The sequence below is a fragment of the Homo sapiens genome, chromosome 7 (assembly GCF_000001405.40).
Source record: "Homo sapiens chromosome 7, GRCh38.p14 Primary Assembly".
NCBI lineage: Eukaryota > Metazoa > Chordata > Mammalia > Primates > Hominidae > Homo > Homo sapiens.
The window spans coordinates 155066654-155088763 of record NC_000007.14 but is presented as its reverse complement, the minus strand read 5'-3'; the positions used below and the strand labels follow the sequence as shown (position 1 = coordinate 155088763).

Genomic DNA, 22110 nt, shown 5'->3' with positions numbered 1-22110 from the left:
CGAGGCTACACCGAACAGCCTCACATGTATAGCGGGCTGTCCCCTCTAGATGTGTGTAAGTGCACTCTGCGACGTTTGCATAATGTCGAAATTGCCTAATGATGCATTTCTCAGCACATCCTCATGGTTATGCGTCCTGCGACTGTACATTAATCTCAGACCCTCCCCTTATTTGCACCAGTGGGCAGAGTCGTCATCTCCCCTACTTCCCATCTGCCATCGCTAATCCACCGGGGATTGCTTGTTAGGTCACCTGGGATTGGTGCAGTGTAGATCACGGTTAGGTTGTTCCTGATCTCTGGGGCAGATTTGGTCTGGGAACTGGTGCCACACGAGGTTGACCTCCAGTCACCAAATATCATAAAGGAAAAGGACACTGTTCCAAAGGTGTCCTGCGAAAGCTGGTGCTTTTGCAGCTCTATGTGGGCTGTACTTGGTGGAGATGCCAGAGGGGAGGAAGGGGTTGTTTTAAGTCCCTGCCATCATCTGGCTCCTGCCAATCATTTCTTATCCTTTAGGGGCTGTTTCTGTGTTAAAGTACGAAGACCAAGAGCTGGAGTTTGGAGTCAGGTCCTAGGGTTCTGATCCTGGCTCTAATTTTCTAGCCATTTCATCTTGGATGAATAATTTAATTTTTACAAGACCCAAATGACTTTTGTGTTAAATCTCCATAGTGCCTCCAAGGGTTATTGTTAGGACCAAATAGGGGTGGCTTTGAAGGGCATGGCACAGTGCCCTGTATGGGGTCAGGGCTTAATAAACATTGACGATTATTTGCTTGGTTGTGGGGAAGCTGATTAAATTTGCTGCACGTTGTGGTGCATCTTCCTTGATTCCTTCCTCTTGCTTGCGGAGCCTTGAGCCAGATCTCAATGAACACAGCTAGCAGCCAACCCAAGCTATCGCAAAGGAGGCCATGACAGAAGGGATAATGAGTTTGAAAGATACACCTGATGGAAAGGCAAATCCCTTTCAGGAGGAGAAAGAGGAAGATGGAAGGCTGGGTGCAGCTGGACCACAGCACCCGAGACTGCTAGAAAAGAACTACCTGGGGCTGGCAGTCCTGACAGAGCCATTTAATCAGCTGACAGTGGCCAGGCTGGACCTTCATCCTCCTGAAGCTGGCCCCCCCACCCCCGGCACAGTGGGGACGGTGGGCACCAATGTCCTGACAGGGGTGCCTCATGAAGGCAGGAAAGACAGCTACAGACCACAGACGGCCCCAGTGAACCATCAGTGCCCAGCCCATGAGCAGCCCAGAGCAGGAGAATCTCTTTCCTGATACAGGACAGAGGCTTTGAGAAGGCCACCCATTCCCCTTTTCCCGGATGCCAACCAAATCCCTGCTTGGCAATCACTTTCACTCAGCACTTGAGCTGTGGACTCAATCTTTATTTTCTCTTTAATAGAAATATGGCAAAGTGTTGTCTCTACAGCCTCTTTGGCTGTGAGCAGGGAACTGCAAATCCAACAGACAAACACGGAAGCAAAAATGCTCCTCATGAAAAGAAGAGAGAAATAACAAGCTTTTTTTTTATCAAGAATTAATCCCTACAATATGGTCTGATGTCAATACAGACTCAGGGACATCTTCCACTTGTCTTTCACTACCGCACAATGAAAATATAAAACTGATAGTGACCTCAAGAGGGCTAAGATCACTCATAAGGAGAGGATTATCTCCTTTGTACTTTGTCTTTAGGCAGGAGGGCAGAACTGTGCGTTTTGTTCGACATATTCTACAAGAGCTGAAAGGAGGGCTTTGGATTGGTTCACCTCAGTCACCCTACAGAGAGGGCTTGCAGGAAACCCTCCAGCCTTCTCTAGGTGCACCATCTAATAAAGGTGGTTGTTGCAATCTGGCACGGGAACACAATTAGTTATTTTGAGCAATTACTTCTGTTTATGATTCATATAAATTTCTAACCTGATAAAATATTAGCAGTCAAGCATAAATGAGAGTGTTTCACAAATATTTGATTTGCATAGTAGAGACTCAAAGTCAATGAATGTCTACATTTCTTACCAGGGTATAAACAACTTTTACTATTGAAATGGAAGCAAAATAATTCATTAATTGCCACTTCTTCCTTCTCTTATGTGGAATGTTTCTTGCTCTAGATAGTGTATGTGGAGTATGTTGTATATAATGTATAATTTAAGTGACACCTGAGAGGTGTTAAATACATATTGAGTGATAAGAATAATGAGGCTTATCCATCTTATGAAAACATTAATAAAACCCTCAGCTGGAGATTGAATTAATATTATAATAACATCGTTCTCCAACTGGGGTATACAGAATCCTTGGAGAGTTGGGGAGTGTTTGAAGCCACCAGAAAAATGTGGCACATCTTCCTCAAGCTTCGCTTTACTGAAGAGTATGAACTTTTTTAAACAGTAAGACACTCACGATTTATGGATTAAAAGTTTTCACATGGATTTTCAGGTAGAATAGACTTAAGCGTTTACCCTTGATTCTAGTGTTACCTCTCCAGACTCCTCATGTCTGAATTTTTCTTCTCTGCCATGGGGTACTTAATAAGGTTTTTCAAACACTTCCCTTCCCTTATTCAAACACTTCCCTTATTCAAAACACTAGAAAACAATAGCATTTGTTATTCTCTCTGATTTCGAGTAATAATGGGGAAAAGTAACTTGAGTAAGTGAAGAGTCTGTATTTTAAATACTTGTGGGTTTAGCACTTCAAGTGATATATACAGATGAAAAATCTAAGGACGTTTCTAAATAAATTCTTCAATTCTTATCACTAAATTTCTCAATGAATCTGCTTGAATGCATAAAGATCTGCATTTAGCATATTAATTGTGACTTCACAGGTGTCTAACATTTCTTTATCTGCTCACATTCTTTTGATAAAGCTAGTCTTTGCAATAAAGACAAGACTAAACTTCAAGCCAAGACCACATATAAATTATCACAAATTTCCTATGTTTGAACTCTTAATTGATATAATTTATTATATACAATATACTACATGAATTACAATAATTCAGAGATTATTATATCATTCTTTAATTCATGCATTTGAAGAGTCAGAGACATAGCAGACCACAGGCAGTTTTATTGCCTAGGATTTTTTTTTAAGTTTTGTGTAATGACACTGGTTTTACATGATCATCCAAATGCTGCATCATCACTTAACTGCCTCACCTCATAAATTATACTGTCAATTTGTAGAGGACTGGGGCTGCATTTTACCATTGTTCTGTCTTTTTCATTGCCTACTAGCCTCGGCCTCCTAGCAGGAATTCACATACCAACAAAAAATAGCAATTAGCAAATTAATCAAGGATGCCCTTAAAGTGCCTGTGTTTGGTGAATGTGCCTTCATAGTCATTGGTCATGAAATGCTCAACCTTACAGCAGTTGTTTTACTCTAATCTCATGATTTGAGGATAAAGGTCTTTGACTAGAAACACTGGAATATAGTCCACGCGCGTGAAACCAGTAGCAAATAAACAAATCTGACAGATTCTATGAAACCAGTAGACTTTCCTGTTTATAAACTGTTGCTTCAAAATGAAAGGAAGTAGTTACCCTCAGTGCCTGTTTCATGTCAACGGATTGCATTTTGGAGTAAACTAGCTAGCTAGAACACCTGCCTCTTTCATAGTTGTGTGTGTGTGTGTGTGTATGTTCGTGTGTGGTTGCCACAAACAAAACCTTAAAGCTAAGATTCCCTGCTCTCATGGATAGGACTATATACTTTAATATATTTGGAGACAGTGTTTTGTGGTCAACTCTTGGGTCATACCCCATCAGTATTAGGATATATGTACTAGGACCACAGAGAATATTTGAAATGGGGACTGTGCCAGAAAGCCTGGAACTATGGTCTCCTACCCTCAGAGGTCTACATCATGACTTGTTCATTCTTTTCTATTCAATCTCAACCTGCCCATATTGTTTTACCTCCTCCTTCTTATTTGCCTTGACTTCTTTAAGACAATGTCGATCACCATGCCAGAGTGAATTTGGGGAGGAAAGGACACTTTGCGGGCAAAGACCATGACTGTCAGCACAGAGAAAGGGATAGTAGATAAGTTAGATACATCATGTCACCGTAACTCTATGAGGAGTCATATTCCTACTGAGGAGGTGGAAAAGAGGCCAGTGCAGTTCTGAAGATGACCCTGGAGAATGGTGAGGATTCATCCCGTCCACATGGCTGTTGGGTGGGGATGGGAAATGGATGAACTGGGAATTCCACTGAATTATGGGAAGAAACTTTTTTCAATCCTGGTCCTCTCCCTCAGTGTTGCCTAGAAAAGAAGTTCTTGAAGGCGCTGTTGTAGTTCTTGTTGAAAGCCGTATAGATCAGGGGGTTAAAGAAGGAGTTGGAGTAGCCAAGCCACAGGAAGATGCTTTTCCAGATGGCGGGGATGTCACAGGAGCAGAGGGGACTGATGAGCTCGGTGAGAAAGAAGGGGATCCAGCAGAGCACGAACACGCCAATGAGGATGCCCACCATGAGGGCGGCCCGCTGCTCCTTCTGCTCCCGCCACGTGTCCCCTTCTGGCTGGAAGGTGACGGTGGCGTGGCGGACCGTGAACACCATCTGGGGCTGTTTGGCAGAGTCCTTCACCTGTAAAAGACAAGCAGGAGCTTTATGAGGAGCCACCTCAGTCTACCTGCTAGGCTGAGCCTGGACACTGACAGGCCTGGATTCCGCACATCCACTCAAGGGAAAGTCTTCGATGGATAGGTGTGGGAACCTGAAGGCCTGTGGCACTCGCTCTCAGATATGGAAACCAGGCAACAGAGCTGAGGTGTTTGCTTACCTCTTAGAAATGAAAGGACCAGATGTGATGAAATTGACATCATGAAGATGGACTCCCTATTGCTGTCTGTTCAACAGAGGCAGTGGCAGAAACGAGCAGGCAACATGGCATGCACAACTTAGTGGCAGAGGTGCACACTTCATCAAAAGTGTCCTAAGTTCCTATCAAAATCCTGTACACTTAGGACCACATTTTCTACCATCTTTATAACCTTCTGGGCTCACGTAAGTCCCCTCTATAATGTTAGAACTTTTCCTCTGGCATAAAGCTCCTACTGCTGTGCCCCATAGCATATTCTACTGTTTGAGGCGGTCCAGTAACAAGGACACCTCTCTCTGGGTCTATTCTGTGTCTTCCTCTACCCCTATATTTATGTAAAACTGAGACCCTAGTCTTTTAGTCTCCTGTGGGGTGCCCCCAAGGCCTCCACAGGGCAGGTTCCCACAGAATCAGGCTCTCCAGTTCACTTCCTTCTCTCAAGGAGTGGAATTCCTGGGAAAGGAAGCTCTTCCTCCCTTCTGGTCCTATTTTTAGCTCTTGGGAGAACTGATATAATGAGTGTCTACTGATGAGGCAGCCTAAATATGAAGCAATCATAAATTTACTGAATTAGCAAATTAATTGATCCAATCAAAATGTGCGACAGTTTCTGAGTCATTCATTCTCTGGTGAGTGAGACTGCATTAACATTAAATAGTATTCTTCCCCTCTCCAGCATACTGTGACTCTAGTACATTTAAAAAATATTTACTCAGTTTGTTCTCAAAGAGCATACGATCTTTGAGGCAAAGAATTGTCAGGTTAATCTAACCCACTTAACTAATTCTTGGCAGCATTTATAAAGTGGACTCGAAAGGAACTGACTTACTATCACATGGAATAACAGGTGAAAATAGGAACACTATGGTTAAGGCAATGTTAGTTGATGAATAAATTACCAAATTTGTAGAAGAGCTTTGCTGACATTTATTTGCAAAACAGTATAACATCAAGTCTGTACACTAGATTAAATTTAAAAGAAGATAATAAATAATGAAACCAATGGTCCATAATAGTCCAAACTTTAAAAACACATATAAAATAAGCATTGAAAATCTCACTTTCTGTACCTCTAGATGAAACCAGAGTTACCTTTGGTTACTGATTTATCAAGGCATATCTGGAAATGCATTTGAGGGGATTCATTTATAGAAATCCAAACCATATTTAGCTTAATTTTTCAGCATAAAGGAAAGAGGGAAAGCTACCAGTTTCCTTAACAGAATTCAACCCCCTAATAATATCAGGGAAGCTGTTTTCCATATTGTCCCAAGACGGCAATAAAACAAGAATTCTAGCTGGACTCTTCAACCCTCTGGAAAGTCTCCTTCCCCTTGGCACATTTTTATGAGTGACAATGGGGACACTGGTAACACTGGTCATACTTGAGACATGGTCACACTGTGGAGGCTTATCACACTGGTCACATAAAGGATGCTGGTAACACTGGAGATGCTGGTTATACTGGAAACACCATGGATTCTGATCATACTAGAGATGCTGTTCACACTGGGGATGCTGGTCACACTGGAGATGCTGGTCACGCTGAAGATTCTGTTCACACTGTGAATGCTGGTCACCCTGATGACACCATGGATGCCATTCACACTGTGGATGCTGGTAACACTGGTAACACCATGGATGCTGTTCACACTGTGGATGCTGGTCACATTGGTGACCCCATGGATGCCATTCACACTGTGGATGCTGGCCACACTGGTGACACCATGGATGCTGTTCACAGTGTGGATGTCGTTCACACTGTGGATGCTGGTCACGCTGGAGATGCTGTTCACAATGGGGATGCTGGTCCCACTGGAGACACCACGGATGCTGATTATACTGGAGATGCTGGTCACACTGAAGATACTGTTCACAGTGGTGATGATCACACTGGTGATATCAATGACACTTAGGGCTTAGAATTTTTTTAGAGTTTAGTCATAGAACTCCACGTTGTTCAGAAAAGCATATTTTTCTATTACCTTGTGAAATGTTGATTATTTTACTGGGCCATCTTTGGTGCTGCATTCAATGCCAACTCACTTGACAGAAGAAAGAGTGACACTGATTTAAAATGGTACCCCTGGGACAATAGAGTCTCCAGCTGCTAGGAGGGTCTTGGTTGTTTGTGGAGTTTCAGGTTTCTAATGCCCTCAAATGGTGGAATTGTTTTCTTACTCTATGGCCCTTGGACTTATGTACTCCTTAGCTCTTTGCTCTCTTCTAATCCATGATTGCAATAAAGCACTTAATTGAATCTGGACAATAACGCTCTATTAATTACTACATTCAACCTGATCATTAGTAAACTCACAGAAAGAGAGGAAATAGGGTTAAAAAGTGAATAGTTAAGCCAAATTAATTTTTCCTAATAATCTCTGAAATGCACATAAAGTACATAGCTCACAATTTAAGATTCATATATAAATTTTTTTCTAAATGAACACTTAGCCTCATCTCCCCCAATAAACAAATTCTTTGGGGACAGGTACATATGTGTTAGAGCTTTCATCCTTCCAAAATGATTGCATGCTAAATAATTATTTACTGGTTAATCACAAATCTGGTATGTTCTTTTATTTCATCCAACCACTCTGCTTTGCCTGTCTAATAATGTCCTAGATAGTCAATGGATTACCTTCAATAATGGGTATTGAAGTTAAGGTATAGACTCTTACCTTGGAAGTGTGGTTTCAGGTGATTTGCAAGTTAGACCACATCACTGTCAGAATGAGAGATGGGTCACAGGAGCTCAATGGAACAATAAAAATGTTTAAGCTAAAAATGGCCTTACACATCAAGGAAGCCTCCACGAGGGTATGAATCAAAACCCTCCACAAACTTAGGACAAGACTGATTGTTCTATAACTGATAACAAGCAGACGTTTTTCTTGTTTAAACCTCTTCAGTCAATCAAGGATGATGCAGTTTGGGAATATACACTTGTAAACCAACTAATCTGTGTCAGCCCTCACTTCTGAAAGTCAGCCAATTAAGGTCAGACTCACCCCAATAAACACACTTCTGAGCACCAATCATCCAACAGAAAACCCCATTCCAGCAGAAAATCCCATTCCAACAGAAAACGCCATCCAACAGAAAACCCCATTCCATCAGAAAACCCCATCCAACAGAAAGCCTCATTCTGAGTAAACTCCGTTCTGCAGCTGATGTCAGCCTGCTGCTACTCTGAGTGTCCTCCAGTCTCTGAACCCCACACTGCCCCGAATCATGGATGATGGGCATTCCGCTCTGCTCTGGGAGACTGCTGACAAGCATAGCTTCCTCTCGCTATTCTGAGTCAAAGATTCAGCTTTGTCTTTCTATCTCAGACTCTGAGCAGTAGTGGCATCGCCCCTGGACAGTTCTGGAGGCTCCATTGAAGTCATTTTGAAGACTCTCCGTGGGATCCTTGGGCCACAAGTGCATTCACTGGGCCCCAAACTCAATTGCCCTTTGTGTCCACAGCCAAGCACATCAGTCTCAACAAGGATTTGAGTTCTGCCTAGTTTCACTGGGCTCTTATTGCTCAATGTATTTTGTTATCCTAGGATTTGTGACCAACTATGTCCTTGGATAAGTTCGCAAGGCTGAGGTGTTTGTATCATGTAACTAGATCTTTGATTGAGAGATCTACCTATCTACCATTAGGTAATTGTCTTAGATCTATGTAGAAAGCTTTAAACCTCTTGCCATGAAGGTGTATCATCTGGCAAATATTGTCATGCCATTAATCTACTTATCCTATGGCCTCTTGCCTTGCTTGTGTGTTGTCTACATGTGCAAAGTCTTGTTGCATGGGTTTTTGTTTTGTCCTGGAACTCCTTCTTCTGTTGAATACAGAAGGAACTATTCTATAAGGCATTGGCTTGATAAGTTTCCAATCTAATTCAAGCTGGACCTGAGGGCTAATGATTTGAAGACCATTATTAGGCCAGTGACCAATTTATGAAAAAGCAATTGATCAAACTTTGCTTGGGGTCCCCTACAAAGCTCGTATGAGGGCATTCCTGACTTGTCGACTTGTGAAAATATATCACTTTGTCCTGTTGTTTTCCAGCTTAATGATAGTTGTGCGGACAATCATGTGTCCCCTTCTCCATCTGTTTGGTCCAGGACCCTGAGACACTATTCACAAGCATGAACTGTTGACCAACCACAGTTGCCTCTTCCTCATGTGCCACGGCTTGTTTATGTCCAAATCTCAATCCTCTTTTTTAAGAATTTCTATTTCCTATTTAAAATTGCATTATGATCCTAAGTCTTGCAATTTTCTTCACAAATGCCAAACTTTTTTTACTTAATGAAAAACATCTGATGAATGAAAAATTAGTGAGTTAAGATATTTAAGAGAAGCTCTAGAAAAATTAGGAGACAAACATCAAATGGCTAAAAGTCAGCCTCTTTAATTGGTATTTTGAGTCCTTAAAAGAAAATCCTAACTAAGATAGTCTCAAAGATTTTGTAACCTTCCCAAACCTATCCTCTTTGCAGATCTCTATCTTGTATTTTTCTATTCAGCTTTATCTGACTTCCTAAATGAACCAGGGTTTTCTCAGGAAAAACACAATCACATTATAAAATTACCAGAAGAAAAATCAGATTTATAGAATTTAATTAAAACCTTTGTCTAAAGCTAAGAGCTATAATTAAGAAATTTTCTAGGCCAGGCATGGGGGCTCATGCCTGTAATCCCAGCCCTTTGAGAGGCCAAGGTGGGAAAATCATTTGAGGTCAAGAGTTTGAGACCAGCCTGTGCAATAGAGAGACCCCATCTCCACAAAAATTTTAAAAATTAGCCAGGTGTGGTGGCATATCCCTGTGGTCCCAGCTACTCAGAGGCTGAGGTGTGAGGACTGCATGAGCCCAGGGTTTCAAGGCTGCAGTGAGCTACGGTTGTGCCACTGCACTCTAGCCTGGGCAACAGAGCAAGACCCTGCCTCAAAAAAAGAAAGAAAAGAAAAGAAGGAAGGAAAAGAAAGGAAAGGAAGGAAAAGAAAGGAAAGGAAGAAAAAGAAAGAAAAATTTTCTAAACTTTTGTTATAGAATTTATAATTTTGTTAGAATATCAAACAAAATTTTTATTTTCTTGAACTATAGATGTGTACTAATTAGTTAAATTAACTAAAATCCTCTTAGATAAGAAAAAATGGTAAAAAAAAAAAGAAGCACAGAAAATAGAAGAGTTATATAACCCAGTTGTGAAAATTTAAATATAAAAATAGAAAATATATTATGTAAAGTAATTTTAGAAGGCTTTCTTTTAAGGAGAGGTTGAATAAAGATTCAAAGTAAACTAAATGAATCTGGGCATGGTGGCTCACGCCTGTAATCCCAGCACTTTGGGAGGCCAAGGCAGGAGGATTACTTGAGCTTGGGAGTTTGAGACCATCATGGGCAACATGGTGAGACCCTATTTCTATAAAAAATACAAAAATTAGCCAGGTGTGATGGAACACACTTGCAGTCCCAGCTACTCGGGAGGCTGAATAAAGATAGAAAATAGACTTCAGAAAACCTTCAAGCAGCATATTTGTGTATACCCAACAGCTGAAGTATAGTCTTGTCATATCTTTCTATAAATGGGCTTAAACCTGAATTTGGGAATTTAATAAGAAAAAATAAACTGAAATGTGAAATTGCCAATTTGCAAAATATCCAATATGGGGCTAGACATTTCCAGATAGGCTTAGAAAGTAAATGCTATAAATCAATACAAGATATGGCTTTCTAGATAAGGCATCCAAAAGGGCCTCTGTTCTCAAAGATTTGAGAGCTGAGATAAGGATCCCTGTATATATTAATATATTGCTAGCAGGAGGACCCTTGAAAGAATGAACATCTCGTGTTGGCCAAAAAGCAAAATGACAACTATATACAATCTATCTAATAAAGCCACTCCAAGGAAGTTATTGTCACTCAACAATTTCTTTGTCTTTTTAAACTTCCAAGGAGAATTTTCTGTAACTAGATATACAACTATATAATGTTTTTGTTTATGTGGGTGTCAATATAACTACCAGTAACCCCACTATTACAGAACAACAGATCATTCCATGTACATTTTTAAAGTTGTCTGAAAAGCAAAAAAGAAAATTGTAGCAAGTTTTTAAAAATTAAAAACAAACAAAAAATTCAATAAAGCTATTGGTGGCTGGGCACAGTGGCTCACACCTGTAATCTCAGCACTTTGGGAGGCTGAGGTGGGCAGATCACCTGAGGTCAGGAGTTCGGGACCAGCCTGGCCAACATGGTGAAACCCCTGTCTGTACTAAAAATACAAAAATTAGCCAGGCATGGTGGCACACACCTATAATCCCAGCTACTTGGGAGGCTGAGGCAGGAGAATGATTTGAACCTGGGAGGTGGAGATTGCAGTGAGCTGAGATTATGCCACTGCACTCTGGCCTAGACAACAGTGTGAGACTCTGTCTCAAAAAAAAAAAAAAACAAAAAAAAAACCTATTGGTTATAGGTTATACCAGATAGTGAAACAAGATAATGAATGACAAATTGACAAATTTCTGGCTATATAGTAAATTTTTCAAAGGCTTGAGAGAAAATCAACTTTACTTAATGGAAGAATTCAAGTAGTAACAATCTTTAACAATTCTGTGTGCCAACTTATAACTGATATTTTCAGATCATTATCAAAAGAATACTTCTTTAATCTATGACATACCTGCAATAAGTAGGATCTGCTTCCAAATAAAATGTGCTGCAGCCCTTGTTCATGATGAGATTATACCTGATCTGACGTGAGAATGCCTACACTGCATGTAATTTTAAAAATTACTATAGAAATACTGATGGTTCTAGAATCTCTATGGACAAGAGACTCCACAACTAGAAAATTTAATTGAAGTAGAATGCATAAGAGTTAAGAATGATTCTTCCTAGGTTATCATGAACATTCCTTTTCATGCGAATATGAAAATATGGGGCCATGCTCTGGGTGGATTAAGGTGACAGCATAGCACCTGTCAAAGAACATTGCTTATTTTAAGTTCACCGCTTAGTTCAGTAACCTGGAGGCTTTGCCTTCTTGTCTCAGAGAAATTACAGGCATCAATTCAACTAGTCAACACATCTTCAGAACATTTGGTATTAGGCCTTTAAATCTTATATACCACATGTAATAAGCCCCAATTGCTAACAGAAACTATCCAATATTTTTCTACTCATTGATTGATAATGGTTCATGGTTACTTTCTCCTTCTCCTGGTGTAACATGCATCACCCCGCAGCTAGGAAACCCTTAGACAAGGAAGGGGAATCCCATAACTGCATTTCTATAATTAAAGTGTCCTGGCTCCAGACAGAACTTGGATCCTCTAGTACCAAATTCCAATGAAATATTGTTTGTTGATGGTATGCTAAAAAACAAAAATAACAATACCATGTTTGATATATAATAAGTAGTCCAGTCTCTCCCATAAAATTTAATTTCTTACCCAAAGCCAAGTTGTTCAATGCTTAAATTATGGACCTTTCCAGTAGGTCCATATTAAGTTAAAAAAATGAAACAGAATGTATGTAGACTAATAATTAGTATACCTCCAGAATAATTCACTAATTTAACATACTATAGAAACATCTCCTTCAGGTACTCTAAAAATGGACAACAAATGTGAATTATTTGATGACTTGATGCTACCCCAAACCATTCTAAACTGAGGTCCTCCAGGGAACCTCCAGAAAGAGAAGTGTGGACATTGCCATTAAACCAAGAACCTCGGGACAAACAGATGACCATGTGAATTAGTGACCATCTTGGCAATACTTACAGATAACGTACCTACAGCTTCACTAAGATTGATCACCTCTCTTCTATAGTTCCTGGGTCCTTTATCCTATGCTGACGTTAAGTGTCTCAATGTCAACTGAGAAGAAAAGTTAATTGCTCCATAGGGCCATAGGTTAGGCCATTCCAAAATCTGGCTCGCCAATGCCCTCAATGGACTATACCTCCTTATGAAGAGTCCAAAGGGACAAAACTCTCTCAGAGAAGGCTCCTGAAGATAATGACCCCATTTAAACAGTTGGATAACTAGAGGGTTTTTTTTTAAAGTTGTCATAGTAAATAATGCCTGCATTAGCTGACATAAAATATTATATAGCCTAAGCTCCCAGGCCACAACAATTAACCCAAATAGTCATGATGAATAGAATAGCCTTCAGTTTCCTTGTGGCCAGTCATGGAAGAGTTTACCCTATAGCTACCATTTCTTGTTGTACCTGGATTAAGACAGAGGCAAAACAATCTATATTTAAGCTAGAAGAAAAAGGAACATAGCTACCTAACAGATACACAAGAAACTTTTGGGACTTGCTTTCCTGATCAAAGCTGGGAAGTCTTGGGTCAAGGACAGCTCCTCAACAAAGAATTGACTAAGAAGGCACTGGAACTAAGAAGAAGAACTTGGGAGATTTTCCAGTCTCTTCTTACAATATTTATAATTATTCTTGTTTATCTGGTAGTCCTTCAGCATCTGTTGTTCGGAACTTTACATGCTTCTGCAGAGCTCTGTCCTGACAGATGATTCAACAGATGATCTAAAAAATAGCATAAACTCATGTTGATCAACGTGCAATGTGAACATCACATCTCCACAGATGAAACTTCATCATTAAGAGGACCAAAAACAGTGGTGACAATCTGGATAATCACGGAGATCTCTCCTGCAGCTTTGGCTGAATGAGGACCAACACAGACAGACTGAGAAGAAAATGTTCCCACGCACTTAGGAAAAGACTGAGTGCTCTTTAGCCCGGAACAAGTTTTAGACTTAGTCTACTGATCAAGGGCAACTCATCTCAATCAATATATTTTAAAATTTTCTTCTCTTAGGATTTGTAACCAAGTATGTTCTCATATAAGGTCACAAGGCTGAGGTGTTTGTGTCAAGTAACTAGATCTTTGATTAAGAGACCTACCATTAGGGAATTGTCTTAGATCTGTGTAAAAGGCTTCAAACCTCTTGACATGAAGGTGTACTGTTTGGCAAATGGTGTCATGCTATTCATCTACGTATCCTACTGATGCTTGCTTTGCTTTTGCTGTTGTTTGTCTACATGTATAGAGTCTTTTTGCATAGGTTTCTCTTCTAGGTGTAGGTCGCTGCAAGGATCATACAGGAATCAAATATATGAATAGCTTCAGTATCATTGGTAGCCTATAATTTTGAGAGTCAGAGGATTATTAATTTTGTTAATTATATATAGAATGAATAAGGATGGGAGGGCAATTAGGGTTAGAATAATAGAAGGTAAAATAGTTCACACTGTCTCTACCTCCTGGATGTCTATAGTACCTGTGTAGATTATTGGTGTTAGCCCCTCAGTTCTGAAAGTCAGGCCACCAGAGATGGACTCATTTCAGTAAATACGCATTGGAGGAACAACCAATCAGCAATAGCTTCTCATACAGAGGGTGTCATCTACCCACATCTCAAAAATCCACCAATCCGTGAGGCTCCATACCTCCCAAAAGCGCAGTTTCAGGTCAGCATTCTGCTCTTCTTAGGCAAACTGTGCCTAGACAGCACAGCCCCCGCTCACTCTAGTAAGGAAGGCATTTTTCTTTGTCATTTTATTTCAGATCTCTAGCAGTGGCTTCCTCTTCCTTTGACAAGGGCAAGTCTTATCTATCTTGTGTTGCCAGATCCCAGCTCAATGTCTGACCTAGGTTAGGATTTCATGGCATGTATTTGAATAAAACTCAGCAGATAAAGAAACAAGAGAGAAGTGTTGTGGTTTCCCCAGGGAACAGCTAGCTAGTGGTAGAACTCATTTAGAAACTTTGACACCCACTCCCATTATCACAGAACAATCAGGAGGCCTGGTTTGTAATTAACCCTTCAACATAACATAAGGACAGAGGCAGCCCCATATTATATTTAGAGTACTGGATTATTTTGGGTCCTTTTGCTAAGCCAAGGGGCCCATTTAAAAAACTGATCTGGGAAAAGTAGAGAGAGAAGAGAGTATATATATATACATATATATATATATATATATATATATACATATATATATACATATATATATACACACACACACATATGTATATATATGTGTGTGTGTATCTATATAAAAAGCACAAAGATGTTATAATGCTTTGCTTCTGCTATCACCAAAGCAGAGAAATGAGAGTGCCCTTCATCCTTTTACAGGAAGCCTTGGGATGGAATTGTAATTAACTTTCTCCTTCTAAAGCTGTGTTTAGGGCTGACTGTAAATTATATTTGCCTGAATAAACATCAGGGGAGAGGAAGATTCATAAAAGGAGGGCCCTTGGAGGTGACCAGTCTTCTTGTTCCTGGTCTGGAATTTGAGTGGACCCTCATACACATGGAACCTCACTTCAGGTAGTTTGATGGAAGCTTCAGTGTTCTTACCCATCAGCACTCTTTGTTCAGCTTAGAAATCTAATAGATCAGAGTTACCCAAATTCAGTACGATTGACATTTTGGTCTGAACAATTCTCTGTTGAGGGGCTGTCCTGTGCATTGTGCAATATTTAGCAGCATTTCTGACCTCTCTATACTACATGCCATTAACACCCCATCCTCAATTCTTTTTTTTTTTTTTCTTGAGACAGAGTCTCACTCTGTCGCCCAGGCTGGAGTGCAGTGGCGCAATCTCGGCTAGCTGCCAGCTCCGCCTCCCGGGTTCACTCCGTTCTCCTGCCTCAGCCTCCCGAGTAGCTGGGACTACAGGCGCCTGCCACCACGCCTGGCTAATTTTTTTGTATATTTAGTAGAGACGGGGTTTCACCATGTTAGCCAGAATGGTCTCGATCTCCTGACCTTGTGATCTGCCCGCCTCGGCCTCCCAAAGTGCTGGGATTACAGGCGTGAGCCACCGCACCTGGCCCTCAATTCTTAATCATCCAAAATGTCTCCAGACAGCCCAAATGTTTCCTGGAGGGCAGTATTACCCTTCGCTGAGAAATGCTGATATAGGTAAAAGAACAGGTAGCCTCTGACCCCTCGTTTTCTTCTTTCCTCTAGGATGATGCCCTCTCCCCTTTTTCCCTAGCTACACCTCTGGTCCCTCTAAGTTTGACTGACTGGGGATGGTTAGAGTTAGCTACTGACTCTAGAAAGCATATACAGAGCTCAGGGTGGATGTCTATTTCCCTCCCTAGACCACACTCTTCATGGGCAAAGACAACATCTCTATCATTCGCTTACCTCTTGCACCAAACCCATAGTATGCACTCCATATGCTTCCTTAAACTACTTTCTTGTTTCAGAGCCAACAACAGAAAATGGGGACTGTGTAGACTTCTGGTCTAACCTAAATGTGTGAATTAGATTCAAGGAATCTTCCTTGGTAATGAAGGGGGAGCAGCCTGCAGAATCATGAGTCGTAGGGTCAGATTATTAAGAGTTAACAAAAAAACAGGAGTGGGAGAAGATGAGAAAAGCTCCCTCGCTGTTGCTATAGTGGTTGTCATGCAGTAAATACCTCTCATAGAGAGCTAGGGAATTCTCTTTCCTGGATTTTTAATTTCCTTCCGCAGCTTTACTCATGTTCAGGAAGGCAGACAAGTGGTCCTCAGTCACACCTACAACCTAATAGGGCTGTGGGGGATAGACCCATAAAGTAACACCCTAAGGCAGTGGAAGCAGATAACAAATGCAGGCTCCGGGACTAGTGCAGTCAACATCTTCAGTCTTACGTCAGGACGGGAGGATGCCACAGAATGACAGTAACCTAGGTGATACCATATTTTTAATAAACCGGCTGCTGTAATTTGCAAAGAAAAAGAATAGACTAGGATGAAATGCTAACCTGCATCACCTGACTCATGGCAGTCTTCTTATCAAATCATGCTCCCATCCCTGCCTCCCCTCCTCCTGGAACACCCCCATTCTAAGTGCTGGAAGCTGCTAGTTTTTTCCAGTGTACTGAATCAGCGTACCCCAGATACCAGCTTATTCAGATGTTCTAAAGGGTGTTATAGATCCATAGAATTTGGGGGCCAAAGGGGACCCTGCAGAATGACGCAGTCTGAACTCCTCGTGTTCTGTATATTTAACAAACAACCCATTAGAGAAGGAACATGATATGATTAGCCCTGTGAGAGGGAACATGTCAGAGCAAAGTACATCTCTGATGCTTTCTTCCACTCTCCCAGTTTACTCCCCCCACTCCCAAACACAAAAAGTTCCATTTTCTACAAGTGTGGGGGTGGGGCAGGTGGCCTGGGGATATAGCCTGTACAGATGCAAGTCGAGTATTTTTAAGGATTGCTGAGATACCCACCTCCACAGCTTCGGATATGGGTGAGACGCTATTGGTCTTCCTGGAGCCCACGCGGAACTTGGCAGCCTTGTAGATCTTCCAGTACACGAAGAGCACCACACAGAGCGGCAGGTAGAAGGCGCCTACGGTGGAGAACACGGCGTAGGAAGGCTCGCGGCTTACCTGGCACTCCTCGCTGCCCTCAGAGTACGTCTCTCCCCAGCCAAAAAGCAGCGGGGCCAGAGAGATGACAGCGGAGAGTGCCCAGGTGAGCGCGATCATGACGTTGGAGACGCACTTGCGGGTGCGGAGCGTGTATTCCATGTGGCGCGTGATGGACCAGTAGCGGTCCAGGGCTATGGCCGTCACGTTCCAGATGCTGGCCGTGCAGCAAAGCACGTCGCACGCGATCCAAAGCTGGCACAGCCTCCGACCTAGCTGCCAGCGGCGCCCGGACAGCTCGTGCACCAGGCTCAGCGGCATGACCAGCGCGGCCACCAGGACATCCGAGACGGCCATGGATGCCACCAGGTTGTGGGGCACGCGGTGGAAGGTGCGTACACGGAGGATGGTCGCCAGCACCAGCAGGTTCCAGGCGAACGTCGCCGCCACCAGAAAGCCCAGCAAGGTGAGAATAAGCACTCCGAAGACCGAGAGCAGGGGCGAGCTGGGGCGCAGGTCGTCTTTGCCGAGGCTGTGGTTGGTCTCCAAAGGGGAGGGGGTGGAGAGGGAAAAGGAGGTTAGGTTCACAGGTAAATCCATCTCTGGGTCAGGAGACCGCCCTGGGGTACTTGCAGAAGGGGTGTTCAGGAGGACTTAAGGCGGCCACTGTGCCCAGAGCCAATCCGGATGTTTGCAACCTCTGGCCAGTGGGGGAGTTTCTGGAAAGTGCCTGTGAATTTGGCCCCAATTTCCTGCTAGTGAGCATCCGTTGGAGATGGTGTGGCTGCAAGCGCGGCAGGTCTGAAGCCCTCAGAGGCTAAGGAAGCAGAGGCGAGGGGCTGCGTGTCGCAGCCAGGGCCCGCCTAAGCTGTCAGGAGCCCAGGGCTCCTCGCCTTGGTGGAAAGGCTGTTTGGCCGCCCAGAGCCGAGCATCTCCCAGATCGGGGAGAAGCTGGGCGGCCAGCAGCGTGTGGGTGCAGGAGAGGGGCTGGTGCGTCAGAGCAGTCGCTCTCACCGCGTTGTCTCCCTGCCCACCCTTCTCTCTAGGCAGCCGGCTGCAGCCTTAACTCCGTGCTAGGGAAGCCAGTTTTGGGGGAACCTGCTTTCTGGGACCTGCCTTCTGTCCCTGTTGCCCCCGCCACCCCTTCGGAGGCTGCAGCTCCGGAGAGCGAATGCTGGCGCGCCCACCGAGACCTGCCTTATCCAAGTGGAGATCTAGCCCTACGTAAGCCATCAGCTGATAAGGCCATCTCTCCCCGCCTCCTGGCTCAGAGCGCGCGGCTTTGGGGCTGTCCGCGGTGCTGCTGCGCTCCCCGCGCCTGGCGGCTCCCAGTGTGCGCCACCACATGTGGTGCTGTCCGCGGTGCTGCCACCTCGCCCCGCCCGGGAGCAGGAGGGTTGGCGCTGTCCACGGTGCTGCCTCTCTTGCCTGAAATGAGTTTGCCACGTTGAACAAGTTGACCAATGAACTTTCCTCAAAACGTTCCCCTAGCCACCCCCACACGTCCCTCTAGGGGTGGACTGGAGGCCCTAGACACTGCTTTCTCAGCTTTCCATAAGTATTTACTCTTCCTGCAAGAGTTCTGAATTAGGGGTCTAAGATAGTTTCACTAACTTTTGTTCTCCGGAAGATTTTAGCACGTGATTGCTTTCTTCTTACCCAGCTCTCAGTTGCTTCCCTTAAGGGTTGTTTTCCTTAAAGGAGGAGAGGCGAGATAGCAGTTGCTGCTGTTCCTAGAGATGGTTGAGGTGTTGGAGCTAGAATGCTTCACCTGGCTCCAACAGGAATGGCTGAAGAATGCTTTATCTCCTCAGAGTCATAAGGCAGATGGGTAGTCTCCAGTGGTCCCTACTAAATTTGCTTCCTGAGAAGGAAAAATTGGGATACAAGTTATTATAAGAGCTCCATCTCACTCAAAAGAAAGAGGTAATTTAACTCTCCCCTCACACATGCACACAAAACAACCACAAACACATCCACAGAAACTGAGAAAATATCAGAAGCTTCTAACCAGAAATTATGATTGAAAGCACCTCATAAAGAGGCACATGATATAGCAATATAAAAGAAGTTGAAATTTTAAAAATGATGGACAGAAATGGCAGGAAAAAAGTAAGGTGTTAATAAGCTTTGTTTTTAAGTATATAAAATGAGTGTCGTGAAATCCTGTGCATTTACAAGTAAATTTAGTCAGAAAGTTTTAACTATTTAAAGATTAGCAACATGTTTTCATATAAGATTTTGTTTCTTGCAGAGTAAAACAAGTATCAGGAGAATGCACTGAGAAAAGAGAAAGTCCTCCACTGGAACCTAGAGGACGGGACAACATCATTAAATACCGGATTATTCACAGGGCTGTTTCAAACACCACTTAAAAACAGCTGATGGTGACTGCCTGCATGCAGAGCAACTGTGCATGGCCCCAATCTGGAAGCAAGCTTGTGCTTCTTTAAGGCAAATCACCTTCTTGAGGTCATGGAACTAATGGGAATGAGATGTAAACTATGAATCCTCTTCTTTGGAAAAAGTTCTGCATCTAGTCTCAGGGCCTGTTATCTGGAGGAATGGATGAACTGTGTTGCCCACAGGCGGGCCTCAATGGATCTCTATGAATCTTGAAAGGCATTATGGGCTTGTGATTATATTCCCTACTGATTCCCCAGGCCACAGCTGTCTGTATTGATAGCTAAGTGAGCAGCAGAATAGTTAATAAGGACAAAGCCAAGGATGACTGAGGATAATTTGTGAAAAATAGAGTGTCATAAATTTAGGGACTGAATAGAATATTCCCACAAAGGAGAGATCCAATGGAGCATTTCCAGAAGGGACAAACCCTGTTCAGAAAGTCTGGCTTATCTCTTAAAAATACACAAATAAAAAATCATAATATTTCAGCTTCATCTTAAAGCATAGCCCCAATTTTATCTTGAAAAACACTGAAAAGGAAAAGAATCTGAAAAGGTATAAAACTCCCGTCTGCCATATGGTACCTCTGAAATGGCAGTATTGGGAAATATACCTTCCTGGGTTGTCACCTCTTATGGGTTAAACTGTGTCTCTCCTTCCCCCCTCCCTTACCCCCTGCCAGATTTATATATGGAAGTCCTAACCCCTAGAACCTCATAGTGTGACTATATTTAGAAATAAGATCTTTAAAGGGATGATTAAGTTAAAATGAGGCCATAGGATAGGGCCTCATTCAATCTGACTGACATCCTTATGAAAAGAGGAAATTTAGACATGCAAAGAGACACCAAGGATGTGTGTGTGCATAGGATAGACCACGTGAGAATAAAGCAAGAAGGTGGCCATCTACAAGCCAAGGAGAGAGACATTAGAAGATACCAGTATTGGAAGATTAGAAGATATCAAGATTGGATTTCCAGCTGCCAGAACTAGGAAAAAATAAATTTCTAGTATGAGCCACTCAGTCTGTGGTATTTTGTTATGGCAGCCCTAGCAAGCTAATATACCATCCGACAAAAGATACTAGCAAAAGATACAACCACATAACTGAACGAGGTGCTATACTGGAGAAGAGGGAATTATAGACATATAAACAAATCATGGGACATCTACTAAAACCTTTCCAAAAGGTAGTTTGCAGCCATCTAGCAATCATTCGAGTGCAGACTCAGTTGTCTATTGAGGTTACTTACGGTTTGTAATCAAGTCATGTCACTGGCTTATAGAAAAATACTTATTTTAGATTTTTCTATAATGGGAAGGTATGAATCTATTTCATTCAAGTAGGAGCTGATTTTTTGGTTTGTTTTTGCTTCTGTTTTTTGAGACAGAGTCTCACTCTGTCATCCAGGCTGGAGTGCAGTGGCACAATCTTGGCTCACTGCAACTTCCATCTTCCGGGTTCAAGCGATTCCCAGCTAAGTTTTTTGTATTTGTAGTAGAGATGGGGATTTTACCATGTTGTCCAGGCTGGTCTCGAACTCCTGACCTCAATTGATCCATCCCCATCAGCCTCCCAAATTGTTGGAATTACAGGCCTAAGCCACCACACCCGGCCAAGACCAACGAATTTTAATGTAACAGCATAATAAACATGCATGATACAATTTCAGATTCCACATCACAACAAATCTTTAAGGTGCTACCACTCATTGAGTTTTAATATAGCATCACAGAAAAAATATCCATAATTATCTGAAAATAGTATTAAAGTACTCTATTGTCTGCTGTATATCTGTATGAAAGTGGATGTTCTTCACAATCTTAAACTAAAATAACATATCCCAACAGATGGAATGTAGAAACATATGATGTTCTAGCTGTCTTGAAGAGATTTGCAAAAATGTTAATGCTATTCAGAAATATTTTATGAAAAATAATTATTTTTCATAATGAGGTATCACTTATATAGACATGTAATGGGTTTATTTTATTTTTAATAAACAAATACACAAATATGTTGAAAATGTCTCTAGTTTATTTTCCAGTAAATATTAATATATATAACCCATGTAAACAAAAGCTCTTTGGGGTACTCAATTTTAAAGAATATGAAGGGGTCCTGAGACCACAGTGTTTGAAAACTGCTGTCATCAGAACATCACGCTGCTCCACTGTGTTGATGTGGGATGTCAATAAGACAAGACAAGCAAGAAAAGAAGTCTCAAGTTTGTTAGAGTCCTCTGTAAAATACGTGTGCTCCAAGATGTGAGAAATAATTTTGTCTTTGAAGAATCGGACCCCAACAACGTCATTGATGATGTTAGGGCTTCAGTGGCCTGGAGTGTAACAGGGTATTCCTTTCATTATAAAAATATACGTATTGCATCTGGTACCTCCCCCGCTGGAAAGGAAACCTAATACTTGGTCAGCACTTTGA

The 22110-nt window shown here is 42.2% G+C and overlaps 1 protein-coding gene and 1 long non-coding RNA gene across 2 annotated transcripts, besides 3 other annotated features; one reads left to right on the top strand and one right to left on the bottom strand.

Annotated features, from left to right (window-relative positions):
* Positions 1372-18440, bottom strand: HTR5A (5-hydroxytryptamine receptor 5A). The gene is made up of 2 exons (NM_024012.4): positions 17124-18440; positions 1372-4609 (listed from the first exon to the last, which is right to left on the bottom strand). The coding sequence occupies exons 1-2, from the start codon at positions 17862-17864 to the stop codon at positions 4277-4279; spliced, it is 1074 nt and encodes a 357-aa protein (NP_076917.1). The 5' UTR covers positions 17865-18440; the 3' UTR covers positions 1372-4276.
* Positions 17065-17891: an enhancer, noted in NCBI's record as "H3K27ac-H3K4me1 hESC enhancer chr7:154862583-154863409 (GRCh37/hg19 assembly coordinates)". NCBI's record gives its function as "activates a minimal SCP1, AML or CMV promoter by ChIP-STARR-seq in naive H9 embryonic stem cells {active_cell/tissue: H9 hESC(naive)}" and the evidence as "EXISTENCE:reporter gene assay evidence [ECO:0000049][PMID:30033119]".
* On the top strand, positions 17207-21697 carry HTR5A-AS1 (HTR5A antisense RNA 1). The gene is made up of 2 exons (NR_038945.1): positions 17207-17730; positions 19519-21697. It is a non-coding gene; the product is annotated as an HTR5A antisense RNA 1 (long non-coding RNA).
* Positions 18479-18568: a silencer, noted in NCBI's record as "silent region_18843". NCBI's record gives its function as "represses an Ori minimal core promoter by ATAC-STARR-seq in GM12878 lymphoblastoid cells {active_cell/tissue: GM12878}" and the evidence as "EXISTENCE:reporter gene assay evidence [ECO:0000049][PMID:35858748]".
* Positions 18679-18748: an enhancer, noted in NCBI's record as "active region_26890". NCBI's record gives its function as "activates an Ori minimal core promoter by ATAC-STARR-seq in GM12878 lymphoblastoid cells {active_cell/tissue: GM12878}" and the evidence as "EXISTENCE:reporter gene assay evidence [ECO:0000049][PMID:35858748]".